General features: G+C 39.7%; 1 protein-coding gene and 1 pseudogene across 1 annotated transcript in view; one reads left to right on the top strand and one right to left on the bottom strand.

Annotated features, from left to right (window-relative positions):
- ENPP1 (ectonucleotide pyrophosphatase/phosphodiesterase 1) overlaps positions 1 to 14,714 on the bottom strand; it is an 87,136-nt gene that overhangs the window by 59,547 nt on the left and 12,875 nt on the right. The gene's annotated exons all lie outside the window — the stretch shown is intronic.
- On the top strand, positions 7,018 to 9,745 carry LOC100421775 (leucine rich repeat containing 8 VRAC subunit B pseudogene; annotated as a pseudogene).

Here is a 14,714-nt window from a genome sequence, read left to right as displayed (position 1 = left end):
ACATTCTGCACATGTACCACTGAATTTAAAATAGAAGTTGAAGAAAAAAATAATAAAAATAAAAATAAACAATTATTTTAGATAAACATAGTATAGATTTGGTTGGACTAGTATCTTGGGAAAATAAAACTATCAGATTCTTCTCCAAACTAAAATTAGTAATCCAGAAAAAGATATTTTAGTACGCCTGATATTTAAGCAAATAATCATTACATCATTCCTCTTTTTAATTAATTATCCTGATAAATAAGCATTTGAAGAACAGACTCAAAGAAAACTCCTATCAGTAACTCATGGGAGCTGGTAATGACAATTGACAAAATAATTTTTTTAGAAGGAAAGGTTAAAATGAAACATCAAATTAAAAGACTGGCTTAAGAAAGCAGGAATGATTCATATTTTACCACTTAAACTGTAAGTAAATTACACATTAAAATTCCAGCCATATTCAATTAAAAATATAAGTTTGGTGAAATCGTGACCATAATCACAAAGAGACCAGTAACTCTCAATGGTTTCATATCTGAATTAAGACATGTATTACTTTTGGAGCTTTGTGATCTTGAGAAAGTTACATTATTTATGTCCCTTTATCAATAAACAAAAAGAGTTGGACTAAATATTTTCTATGGTCCCTAATAAATGTAAAATGTCTACAAATTTACTTCTCTCTGGAAACTAATCATACCTTTATTTGAATAACCCCTGACCCTACATCCTGTACCCTCTTCTCTTAAAGACTATTACCTCAGCTGGGCGCGGTGGCTCACGCCTGTAATCCCAGCTCTTTGGGAGGCCAAGGAGGGCAGATCACGAAGTCAGGAGTTCGAGACCAGCCTGGCCAACATGGTGAAACCCCGTCTCTACTAAAATGGTGAAACCCCGTCTCTACTAAAAATACAAAAAAAAAATTAGCTGGGCGTAGTGGCACACGCCTGTAATCCTAGCAACTCAGGGGCCTAAGGCAGGAGAACTGCTTGAACCCAGGAGGCGGAGGTTGCAATGGGCTGAGATCACGCCACTGCACTCCAGCGTGGGCGACAGAGTGAGACTCCATCTCAGAAAAAAAAAAAAAAAAAAGACTATTACCTCAAATATGTACATGCATAAGATTCTTGGTTGAACACAGGCTATTAGAATGAGAAGCTTGTCTTGAGATGCTCCTGTAACACCAGCCCAGGAGCCTTACTTCCCCAGGCAAAGCAGAAAAGGGGCCAGAAACTCACCTGCAGCAGGCCCTTTATATTTGAAATCTTTCCTGGGTTTCTGCAAGCCCTCCAGACAGCTGATATTTCTAGGGCAATTATTCTCCTCTTCTGTCATGCTCATTCATTTTTGTTTCAATAAGTACCAAACATTTTCAAAGAAAAAGATAAAATTTAACCAGCACCTATAACTTCTGCCTCAGTGGGCAAATCACTTCTTTACTAAGATCTCACCAAGTGCTTTCACAGGTCATTTCTCTCTGAAGTTAAAGGTCAAAGAATAAAACATCCATCTCATAGTATAAAGTAATGGTTTCATTGAGCTTTCATGTTCACCTTCACTCCATGACTTGTAGACCGTCATTGTATCTTGAGACACAAGCATTTCATCAATAAGGAGAGTGACAGAAAACACCTCAACTGCACAGCAGAATCACTCTTTAAAAGGCTAAAGGGTCCCTCCTCAGATACAGCCTCCAGCCACTGGAACTTCTATTTAGATTCACAGATAGTTAACCCCCAGAAGTAATCATAGAATTATTAAATATCCACTCCTCTGTTCTTGGTCTGATGGTTTTAACTGTCTCCTGTCTTCAGTAGGACTGTCACTGTCGCAAAATGCTGTTTTTGTGGTCTTTATCTATTGTACTGATTTACTTCAGCATCTTAAGAAAAGCAATCTATTGAGAAAAAAGATCTTGAAGTGCTTAGTAAACAAAATTTCTCTCTCTTTCCTGATAACAAAATACAATGGCAAATGGAGCAAATGTTTAAAGGTATAAAATAAAATCACCAGAAGAAAAGATGAGCAAATATTTTTACAATTTTGCTTTACAAGTATGACACAAAATCCAAAAATGATAATGGAAAAGTTGATACATTTGAGTTCATAAAAATTGGAAATTCCTGTAAAGCCAAAAAAACAAAAATCCACCACATTGGGATGGGGGAACAAGGATAAGACATTTTTGGTACATGACAATAGATAATAGGGTATAAAAATCAAGTAGAAAAAAAATCCAATTTTTAAAAATACCAAAAGTAATAAACCAACTATTTAAAGAAAATAGCTAATAAAAATATAAAACATTCATTTTCATTAAAAAAAATCAAAGAACTACAAATCAATGAGTCCCTTTCCTACCCAACAAAATGAACAAACATTAAAAAGACTGATAATCACAAGCTCTGACAAGCACATAAGGAGAAATAGATTCTTTCACACTGCCTTCACAGAAGTGTAAGTTCCTTTCTAAAAGGTCATTTCAATGAATCTACCTAAATTCAAAGTGTGCATATTTACCACTCTTGCAATTCCATTTCTATTATCTGCTAGAAATAATCACATAAGCACACAAAGATATGCACACAGAGATATTTATTGTAGCAGTGTTTGGAATTGCAAAAACTTGCAAATAACCTAAATTTCTGTTTATAAATCATGGAGCAAATATAATTTGGTAAATCCAAACAACATAAAATACTATCCAATTATTTTAAACTTATGTAGACCCATCACTGGAATACTTGCTCTTAAAGCCTTCAGCCTCCATGTAAGCAGTTACCCTTACACGGAGGCCACCATGCTATGAGGAATCCCAACCATTCCGTGCACAGAGACCACATGGGGAGGCCCTAAGACTGCAAGAAGAGACAGAAAGATGCCTGGCCAGCCCCTAAATGCCCCAGCCCTTGCTGTTCCAACTCTAAGTCACCATCTAACTGCAGCTGCATGAAAGACCCTGATTCACACAGGTCCAGTCAAGCCTTTCGTGGACTCCTGACACACCAAAAACTATGAGAGATTTTTGAGTTTACAGAGCTGATGACCAGGTGCTGAACAGAGATGAATTTATCAAGTTGGTCACACAAACCAAGATGGCTCCCTGCCCACCTGAGGAAGCATGCTTGCCTTTCTCCTTCTCCCAGATCTTATGCCTAAATCATTCCCAAGGTAAAGTGCACATCTGGCCAGCTTCATTCTGAGGGAATAACCTGGTTATTTATCACTTCATTGGAGAAAGGGAGATGTCTGAAAACTAATCCACACATATAGTGCAATGGAGGCATGGGTGGTGTGATGCCCACCTCTGGGAAATGCACAGAGTTCAGGCACAAAGGTTTATGTAAGTCCACTCCTAATTTGCAGGGTGGAGAAACTGACTTTTGATTATACACACTAGTTTTATGGTTATATAATATTAAGAAATCTGTAAGGAAAAAAAAAAACAAGTCAAGAGAACCTAAAAGCCTGGAACATCCTGTAGGGCCAGAAAGTAAGGAAGTGCTAAACACTTACAAACACACACACGTCAAAGGGTCACAGAAATTAACTGCCAAGTGGCCATGGCTGGAACAAGTTAAGCAAAAACATGAAAAACAGAGTACTGGGTTATAATTCAAAGTATAAAATAGACATTAATGACTCCATACTGAAAAAGACTGAATAAATAAATATAAGGGGGAGAACAAATTTCCAATTCAGAAGAATTCCAAATAATTTATGCAGATACTCCACCATCAAGGAGGTGGAATGTAACTCTCTACCAAAGGTACAGTATGGAAAGGGACAAAAAAGAGTATCTTTACAGCAAAGAAACCTGAAAAAGACTACCTCAGCCGGGTAGTCAAGGTTAACATCATCAATGACAAGACCTATTAATAGCATTAATAGCAGATACTCTTGAAATGATGAGTTAAGAATGGCACTTTACCATCTGTCATGTGCTTCCCAAAAATACGTCAGTCAAGTATAATCATGAGAAAAACATTAGACAAATCCCAGTTGAAGGACATTCCACAAAATACATGACTCATACTCTTTAAAACTGTCAAGGTCATCAAAAACAAGGAAAGTCTGAGACGCTTCGCCAAGAAAAGCCTAAGGAGGCCTGACAACTCAGTGTAATGTGGTATTCCTGGATGGGGTACTGGAACAAAAAAACAAAAAAAGACATTAGGGAAAAAACAAGTAATTCTGAATAAAGTATGGACTTTAGTTAATAATCATGTATCACTGTTGATTCATGAGCTGTAACAAATGGACCTTACTAATGTAAGATGTTAATGACAGAGGAATTGGGCATGGAGTATATGGAACTCTGCACAAGCTTCACAGCTTTTCTGTAAATCTAGAACTATTCTCAAACAGTATGTTTATTGAAAGGAAAAAGAAAAAAGAGAAAACAGAAACAGGCATGAATCCATATTATTCTACCAAAAAAATTCCATTTCATTTTTAAAATTTTTTGATCTATTTTCTTTTCTTTTTTTTTTTTTTTTTTTTTTTGAGAGATGGGCTGTCACACTGTTGCCCAGGCTGGAGTGCAGTGGCATGATCTTGGCTCACTGCAACCTCCACCTCCCAGGCTCAAGTGATCCTCCCATCTCAGCCTCTCGAGTAGCTGGGACTACAGGTACATGCCACTATGCCCAGCTAATTTTCCGTATTTTTGGTAGAGACAGTGGTTTCATCATGTTGCCACGGCTGGTCTTGAACTCCTGAGCTCAAGCAATCCACCCACCTCGGCCTTCCAGAATGCTGGGATTACAGGCGTGAGCCACCCAGCCTGGCCCTATTTTTTTTATTATTGTTTTAAATGCATTTACACACTCAAACCCATATACATATATAACTGAGAAATGATTCTATATACAATTTTTGTTTCATCTTTTTGCATGTAATACTATTTTGTAAACATTTTCTTATCTTATCAATAAATCTTTTAAAATATACATATTTTAATTTAGGTAGATCAACAGGCTGGGACATGGAAATATGTAAATCATAAACAGAATTAAGTTAAAAAGGCAAACTGAACTTTCACTTTTTACATTTCATCAATGTATGATTTTTTTAAATCAACAATGTGCAGACAGTGCTTTCACATCCTTTCCCTGCCTGTGATGGGCACTGTGGTCAGGTGCCTGGACTCCCCTTCAGAGATAAAGGCACCACTGCTCCTCCAGCTGCTGGGAGTGGTCACCTATAGGGAGTGTCTCAGCTAAAGACAGCCGCTTTGCCCAAAGTCTCTCCTCCTTCCTGGGGCAGCTTGCCCCCTCCTGGACCACTCTAGAGGGTCTCCCACTAGTTTAAGAAGGTCCGTAGAGTGGGCATAGCCTCCAATGAGCATCACATCCACTGAGCATTGCAGCTCACCTTCACCCTCTGCACAGCCCTACTTTCTTGCGTTGCCTTCCACAGGTGCACAGCCTCCAAAGAGCATCACACCCAATGAGCACTGCAGCTCACAGTCATCCTCTGTATGACCCCAATTCCTTGTCTTGCCTTCCACAGGTGCTGATCTCAAGAACATACTCTAATGAAATCCCAGGCATGCTCATTTCCATCTAATAGTCTGTTTCCCAAGAAACCCAAGTTGTGTTACTGCCTTTTCTTTTGATCCGCCAACTCAGAGAAGTAACTTTGACTACTACACTTCCCAGACTCCCAGACTCCAAGCATCAGACCAGGAGAGGCCAACAGGAAAGAGAACATTGGAGGGTGGGAGGAAAGGAGAAATCAGAATGTATCTACCTTGTCCTCCCTGCTCCGGGTGGGACCCCTGCAGTGGCTGCATCTGCCCAGGGTCCCAGCTGCTACAGCGAAGCCCTAGCTCCCAAGCTCTGGTTTCATCACCTTTTTCTTTTGCCCTTCCTGCTCTCCAGGTGGTAGCGGCTTCCTTCTGTTACTCTTCTCAGGGTTGCCTAAGGGTCCTACCATTCCCTGTTTGACCGTTAGCTCTTCTAACACTTTTGGTATTTGTTTCCTATATTAAATTATTTTGATTAAGTTACTGAGTATGAGCTTTGTTTTTCTAATTGGACTCAAACAGTAAATAATCAGACCAAGACAGATAAATACATGGATGGATGGATAGATAGACAGACAGACATCCCAAGGCACAATCTAAACTAAATTTAATATAGGCAAAGAACTCTCCATTTTGAGGGTTATCTTGTTTTCTAATTCTCAAATCCCTTTGATGCAAAAACATATTTTAATTAGATCTTTCTTCAGTTGGTTTAAAAAAAGAAAAGAAAAATTGTCCCCCAATCCTGAAAATAGTTGGTCTCTTTTGCAGCAACTATCAAGAAAGATATGTCGTTAAATAAAAGTAGTATTAAATTACTTTAGAAAAGAATTGTAAAGTTTAGTTCAGCTCATAAGATAGGAAAGGGAGGAAAGCAGTTTTATTAATGGTGCAGAACAGCTCTTTCTGCCCTCAGGCAGAGGACCCAACAGATGGACTGCAAGGAAAAGCCTCATGAATCTTATCCAAAAAACATAGTTTTTCCTGCCTAGGCAAGAATCTTGCCTATGCAGATAGTGGGTCAGAGATGAAAAACAAAGGGTGGAAAGAACATAATGTGCAGTTAAGTTTCTGTAATTTATTTGCTGTTTTTTTCTGAAATAATTTTTGGAACATACTCATTCGGGCACCTTGTGTTTATCCTTGAAAGATGGGCTCAGTAGAAACAAACAAAAAGACAACTAAACAGAGGATTTCTAGTAATTCTTCCTGTGGACAGGAAATGGGAGATATAAACCACCACTTAATTTCTGTAAAGGCCTAGTATTTTATTCAATCACAATCACAGTGACAACTTAAAGACAGAATTTTAAAATTGGTAATGGAGGGGAATGTGTGGGCCTGGGGCCCGGGACTGGAGTCACACAGGGCTCCGGTTTGTTTTCCAGCTGCCTGCTGGACCTCTCTACCTGGATGGCCCACAGGTACTGAAACCCCCGTGTTTTCAATACCACACTCATTAGCCTCATCCATCATTGACCCTGTGGCCAAAGACAGGAAATTTTTCAATTTGAGACTAATTGCAGGGTTCCAGTTGGCCAGCATTCATAGGAATGAAGACAAACACAGAGATGGTATGTCTAAGAAACTTCAAAAGGTATAGATCACCTGATTGAAGCATTTCTGATTTATTTAATATTTTTTCATTATATTTCTGTCCTCCTACAAGGGAAAGTCATGATTACACTAACCGAGCTAAAATGTTTACTAGCAGACACCCAGTCATCTTATCACATCTTAAAATCATGGTAGGATGTCTTCTGGTATTACATCATGCTGATCATGTGGACATGCTGGCTGGAGCTCTCCAGCTGACACAGAGCAGGGTTCTGTGCTGTCTTCTTACAAAGTGGAATTTGACAATCATTGCACCATGCCTTGGAACATCCTGAAAGCCAGCATAAACACATCCTCTAATCCCGGGACATCAGTTTCCGATCCCACTCGGAATCCAGAACGACCTCCACTGACAGCAGGACTCCTACATCAACGCTGTCTGTTACGAGAAACAGCTCCATTGGTTTGCAACGTTCTTCCCCTACCTGGTGCTCTTGCACACACTGTTCTTTGCAGCCTGCAGCAACTTATGGCTTCACTACCCCAGGTACCAGCTCCAAGCTTGAGCATTTTGTGGCCATCCTTTATAAGTGCTTCGATTCTCCACGGACCACCTGCACCCTGTCAGAAACAGTGGCCGAGCAGTCAGTGAGGCCTCTGAAACTCTCCGAGTCCAAGATTTTGCTTTCGTCCTCAGGGTGTTCAACTGACATAGATTCCAGAAAGCAGTCATTGCCCCACCTGCAGCGGGCTTTGGAGTCAGCTGGTATAGAAAGCCCAACTTCCAGTGGCCTGGACAAGAAGGAGGGGCAAGAGGCCACAGCCATCTTTGAAAAAGTGAGAAGATTCCGCATGCACGTAGAGCAGAAGGACATCATTTATAGTGTGTATCTGAAGCAGATAATAGTCAAAGTCATTTTGTGCTCATCATAACTTATGTTCCATATTTTTTAACCTACATCACTCTTTAAATTGACTGTTCAGTTGACATGTAGGCTTTTACAGGATATAAGCCTACCAGTGTGTCTATTCCTTCGCAGAAATCTTGAAGTTTCTGGCTTCATTTTATACCATTTTGGATGTACTCTACAGTCTGACCTCCTCCTACAGGCTGTGGTGGATGCTGAGGAGATCCATGAAGCAATATTCCTTTGAGGTGTTAAGAGAAAAAAGCAACTATAGTGACATCCCTGATGTCAAGAATGACTTTGCCTTCATCCTTCATCTGGCTAATCAGTATGATCCTTTTTATTCCAGACGCTTCTCCATATTCCTATCAGAGGTCAGTGAGAACAAACTGAAACAGATCAACCTCAGTAATGAATGGACAGTTGAGAAACTGAAAAACATTAGCTTGTGGAAAATGTCCAAGACAAGATAGAACTGCATCTTTTTATGCTCAACAGTCTTCCAGACAAATGTCTTTGAGTTCACCGAAATGGAGGTGCTAAGCCTGGAGCAGACCCTGGAGGTGAAGCTGCCGTCTGCCGTCTCACAGCTGGTCAACCTCAAAGATGTGGACCATTCATCTCTGGTAGTAGACCATCCTGCACTGGCTTTTTGGAGCAGAATTTTAAAATCCTCTGCCTGAAGCATCCTGAAATGGGAAAAATCCCATGCTGGGTATTTCACCTGAAGAATCTGAAGGAACCTTATCTTTCCCCTATGTGAGAAACTTTTCTGCCCCACACAGGGAGGCTGTGTTCTCCCTCAACAGTTCAGTACTGTGCAGTTAGACGGCTTTCAGGACTTAAAATATCCAAGGACCCTCTACTTGCAGAGTAGCCTCTCCCAGATCCCACAAGTCATTGCAGACCTCTTGCCTTCACTGAAGAATTGTCCCTTGATAATGAGGGAAGCAAACTGGCTGTGCTGAACAACTTGAAAATGATGGTCAATAAGAAAAGCCTAGAACTGATCAGCTGTGACCTGGAATGCATTCCATACTCCATTTTCAGCCTGAATAATTTGCATGAGTTAGACCTAAAGGAAAATAACCTTAAAACTGTGGAAGAGATCATTGGCTGTCAGCATCTTCAGAATCTTTCCTGCTTAAACTTATGGCACAATAACATTACTTACATTCCTGGATAAACTGGGGCATTATCTAACCTAGAGCAGCTCTTTTGGGGTCCTATTAATATTGAGAATCTGCCCTAGCAGCTTTTCCTATGCAGCAAACTACATTATTTGAATCTAAGCTATAACCACTTGACCTTCATTCCAGAAGAAATCCAGTATCTGAGTAATTTGCAGTACTGTGCTGTAACCAACAACAACAGTGAGATGCTACCAGATGGGCTGTTTCAGTGCAAAAAGCTGCAATGTTTACCTTTGGGGAAAAGTAGCTTGATGAATTTGTCCCCTCATGTGGGTCAGCTGTCAAACCTTACTCATCTGGAGTTCATTGGAAATTACCTGGAAACACTTCCTCCTGAACTGGAAGGATATCAGTCCCTAAAGCAGAGCTGTCTGATTGTTGAAGAGAATTTGCTCAATACTCTTCCTCTTCCTGTAACAGAATATTTACAGACGTGCTTAGACAAATGTTGACCTAATGAAGAGACTCATGTTTCAAAATCATTTTTGAAAGTATGCTCCAGGGCTTTAAATAAGAAGTAAAATTTTCTAAGTTAATAAAGATGAAAAATGGGTGACTATTATGAAAAAAATTAGTAATTAATATATGAGCTTATAATTAGAAAGGGAACACAATTTTAGAAATGTGTCACCTCTTCATGTATATATTTAGGCTTAAATCAACTTAATCATATTCAATAATCATTTGGATAAGGAATCTTAAAATAATATTTATAAGAACGTTGATATCTTAACTCTTTTAATTTGTCTTCTAGTAAATGTTTCTTGAACAAGTACTATGTACATTTTCATCATTGTTAATTGGAGAACTATCAAGGTATTTTTTAAAAACTATAATATCACAATTTTTACATGCTATCCAAGTGAAGTTTTTAAGATGCTAAAAATGTTCCACAGATCTGTACTGTCAATATGAAAGTGACTAGCCGTGCGCCATTGCATAGCACTACGGATGTGGCAAGAGTGATTGAGGAAATAAACTTTTTGCTTCATTAAAGTTTAATTAGATGAAATTTTAATTTAAATAGCCACATGTAGCTAGTGGTTATCATCCTGGAGTGAACACATCTACGGACTCAAAATCTAGCAGGAATAAAAAAAGTTACGAAGTGGTCAATTAACAACAACAACAACAAAAAGACAGTGTGCTCTTCTATTTTCAGGCTCCCTTTGATTTGTTAGTGTCACTAAAGCTATTATAGTTTTCAGGGTCCCGTTGATTTGTTTGTGCCACTAAAGCTATTATAAAATGATTTTTCCAAAAGTAAATCAGAACTTGTCACTAAGAACAAAAATAAAAAAGAAACCAAACAGAAAAATATTTCAGTGATTTCCAATTGCTTTCAATTGCTTTTGTTTGTTTGTTTTTTTTTTGAGACACAGTCTCGCTCTGTCACCCAGGCTGGAGTGCAGTGGCGCCATCTCAGCTCACTGCAACCTCCACCTCCCGGGTTCAAGCAATTCTGGTGCCTCAGCCTCCCGAGTAGCTGGGATTACAGGTGTGTGCCACGACAACAGGCTAATTTTTGTATTTTTGGTAGACATGGGGTTTCACCATGTTGCCCAGGCTGGTCTTGAACTCTTGGCTCAAGTGATCTGCCGGCCTCAGCCTCCCAAAGTGCTGGGATTACAGGCGTGAGCCACTGCACCCGGCCTCCAATTGCTCTTAAAACAAAAACCGGCTGGGCACGGTGGCTCATACTTGTAATCCCAGCACTTTGGGAGGCCGAGGTGGGTGAATCATGAGGTCTGGAGTTTGAGACCAGCCTGGCCAACACAGTGAAACCCCGTCTCTACTAAAAATACAAAAAGTTAGCTGGGCATGGTGACGAGCACCTATAATCCCAGCTACTCGGGAGGCTGAGGCAGGAGAATCGCTTGAACCTGGGAGGCAGAGGTTGCAGTGAGCCGAGATGGCGCCACTGCACTACAGCCTGGATGACAGAGAGAGACTCCGTCTCAAACAACAACAACAACAACAACAACAACAAATCCTGCCTGGAGATGGCTCTGGCAACATTTCCCACCTCATCCCCATTACACTCCACTCAGCGCTGCACACCAGCCATCCTGGCCTCCTCCAAGCTCTGGGATGGGCCGTGTTGTCTCCTCTCCCAGGGCCTTTCCCCTGCTGCTGCCTTTTCTCATAATCCTCTTCTGCTCGCCTGTCACTTCCTAAGAAATGCCTTCTCAGACCTCCTGGACAAGGCTAATTCCCCCTCGCTATGTACACAGCTTCTGGGCTGCACTTATTTCAGCTGCAACTTGAGATAATCTTGTATAATTCTTCGATAAATATCTGGTCCCTTCAGATAAAACCTAAAAAACAGACAGTAAGTAAACTTTCCCTTTGACCATTTAGCCCCCAGCCTCTTGCACCAGACTGCCCACACAGTAAAAACTCTACATATTTGTTAAATAAGTTACAAACCATAGCAATAACAATATTGAACCCCGATCTACCATCTAGTATCAGGCACTCTTCTCATTAGTTTATAAATATGAATCCACCTAACCCTCAAAACAAACCTGTGAGGTACTACTACTATTATCCCCATTTAATAGGCAAGGAAGCTATGACACAGAGAAGTTAAGGGACCTGCCCAAAGACCCAAAAGCAATTATTGGCAGAGATGCGATTTACACTCCAGCACTCTGGCTCCAGGGTCTGGCCTTACTCACTAAGCTCTATGGCCTCAACAGGATCCAGTAGCAATTGAGTGGTTCTGGGACAGGGAGATGGGGCCAAAGAGCATCTAAAGAATGTTTCATTTGAGAGGACACATTGAGTTGGGTCTTGGTGGGTGCCTGATGTTGGGTGAGAAAAGGAGAGGTTAAAAAATCACGGTGGGGTAGAAAACAGATATAATCTGTACAAAGTGTATTTGGAGAACTGTACAAGGCTGAGCTGAATGTCATAGAAGGCGTGCTTCAGAGGTGTGGAATGCTGAAGAGAGATATGCATCTTCAGTCCTTTTTTGACTCTCTAAATGGGCAAAGTGCCATCACAGCAGCAGTTGACTGAAACATATCTGAGCCCTACAATCTCCTTAATACAAAGTATGCACATAATATTGCATGTACTATACATCATATAGGATACTGAGTCCCACTGAGGTATGGGAGCTAGGCCAGACACTCCCAAGCCAACAGATTTGCTCCCTCCTACCTCACAGAACTGTACCCATTAAAGGAGATAAGTCTTTAGCATAGGGCCGGACAAATAGTAAACACAAATAGATATGTATGTATTTAACAAACACACATAGCACTTACTACCAGCAAGGGTCTACTCTAAGTGGTTGACAAATATTAACTCATAAATGACTGAACACATATGTCACAGACTCAGCACTGCTACGAATGGATGAAACTATTCATGGTGAGCCCTACATTGATTAACGTCTACTGTTATCCCGCGTGTGGGAAATAAAAACTAGTCTCGGCTTAGGAGTATATATTTTCTCATTGTGTGCTGTGGCAGTCCCAGAAAAATTCTGAGCAGAAACATAATGCAGAGAAGCTATTATTTTAGAAAAACTAGTAATTTAACCATGAAAAAGAGACATAAGCAATAGAGATGGAGCTGAGGAATGAATAAAACAGAAAACAAACATGTACCAAAAAGCTAGAAATTCTTGGGGACTGAGAATGTCTAAAGTATGCATAGAAATAGTTTCAAAGATTACCTACTGAATTGAGGATACTAAAATAAAAGTCTCAAAATCCTACTTATGAAAAGTACATTAGAAAGCTGTCTATCAATGGTAAACTTTCATAATGGAATATAAATGAAAAAAGGCAACAGAATAATATGCACAAAGTGATCTCATCTTTGTTTTTTTTTTTTTAAAAGTGATATGTACACATAGAAAAGTCCTGGAGGGGAAAAAACCCAAAAGCAATTTTCATTTTCTTCTTTATACTTTTTTATATTTTCTGAATTTTTTGCAATAGATAGTATTTTTATAGCAATGGGGAAAATATTGTAAGCTCTCAAAACAAATATTTTGGAACTAGAAGGAACCCATCTAATCCAACTCCTCATATTACGGTTAAGGAAACTGAAAGTCAAAGAAAGAAAGTAATTGTTCAAAGGTCACATAGCAAATGATTCATGTGATTCCCGTTTAGACCCTTTACATGAACCCTGTCTCTGAAGACCTTTGCTTGAATCATTCCATAATACTCAATATTCTTTTTCTTTGAAAGTTTCTAAGAGATAACAAATGTATAAATACTTATATATGTCAATATTCTTCACATTTACCTCCTTTGTGCTGATTAGTAAGGTATTCAAATAAATCGTGTCCAAGTAGAGTTGTTTCCTGCTTATTTCCCCGACTAATCCAAAAGTAGATAAGACCAACAGAGTCTACTCATAATGCTCCTAAACCACACTGTTCCCACATGAATATTTCATTCACCTGTTTCCTAGTATCCCAGAGATTATAATCGAAATGGTGCTGGGTGGCAGTTTATAGGAAGCTAGTGTGTTTGGATGATGAAGTATTATGGAATAAACTCTGGGCCAAGGACATTTAACCTGATTTTACATCACCTGAAAAAGCGTTGGTATAAGATTCCTTTGTTTTGGTTTTGTGTCAAGTATACTGTTGATTGTTGAGAGGGGACTGCAGTGGAAACTTGGAATTGGATAGTTCCATTGATCGTGCGATGGAAAGCACCATCTACATGATATTTTGATAGATGGATGGCTGAATTGGAAAAACATCTGAATGTTATCAGGTAACAGCAAAGACAGAAGATTGGCAACGCTAAGGGCAATAAAGAGCAATTAAAGGACAAGCCAGTGCAGAGTAAAAGAAGGCAATTAAATTATAAGCAACACACGAGAGCACAGGCAGGTTCCTGAAAGACAGAGATGGTATATGCAAAGGGAGGAGACTGTGCCATGTTCTGTATGTGCAAGAGCAATGGGGCTACTTGTATCCATGTGCCACTGAGGTTCATGGAAGGAAAGGGGCCAAATGCAACCAGCGGTAGCACCAATTCAACCTAATGCAACCACAGTTGAGGTCATGGAGGCCCATTGAGTTTTTTCATTTTGTTTTAGGTTTCTAATCACAACATCATGTATGAAGTCAGTGGCACAGCGAGGGTTAATTAGAATTCTCAGCTACAGAAATTCCAGATGTGGTGCCTTCTGTGCTGTCTCATAGCCTTATGGAGTGCTGATATTCAAACTTAATTGTTCAGACAAACCTCTGAGGATCTATGAAAATGCAGATCTTGGTTTAGTAGGTCTGGGGTGGGGCCCAAGATTCTGCATTTCTTACAAATTCTAAGAGGATAATGCTGATATGTCAGTCTGCAGACCACACTTTGGGTAGTTAAGGATGTAAAGTGCCTTCTGAGTAAGGTAAAATAAAAAATTCTCAGTCACATTGAAGCTTATCAACAATAACAAGAAAAAACCACTTATTCAGGGCATATTATGCACCATTTTGTACACATTATATAATTTACTTCTCCTAACACACTCTAATATGATTTTGTCTCTATGCTACAGTTGTGG

This window comes from Homo sapiens, chromosome 6, assembly GCF_000001405.40.
Source record: "Homo sapiens chromosome 6, GRCh38.p14 Primary Assembly".
NCBI lineage: Eukaryota > Metazoa > Chordata > Mammalia > Primates > Hominidae > Homo > Homo sapiens.
Note: the sequence above shows the minus strand (reverse complement) of the source record. Positions and strands in the feature narration are given on the sequence as shown.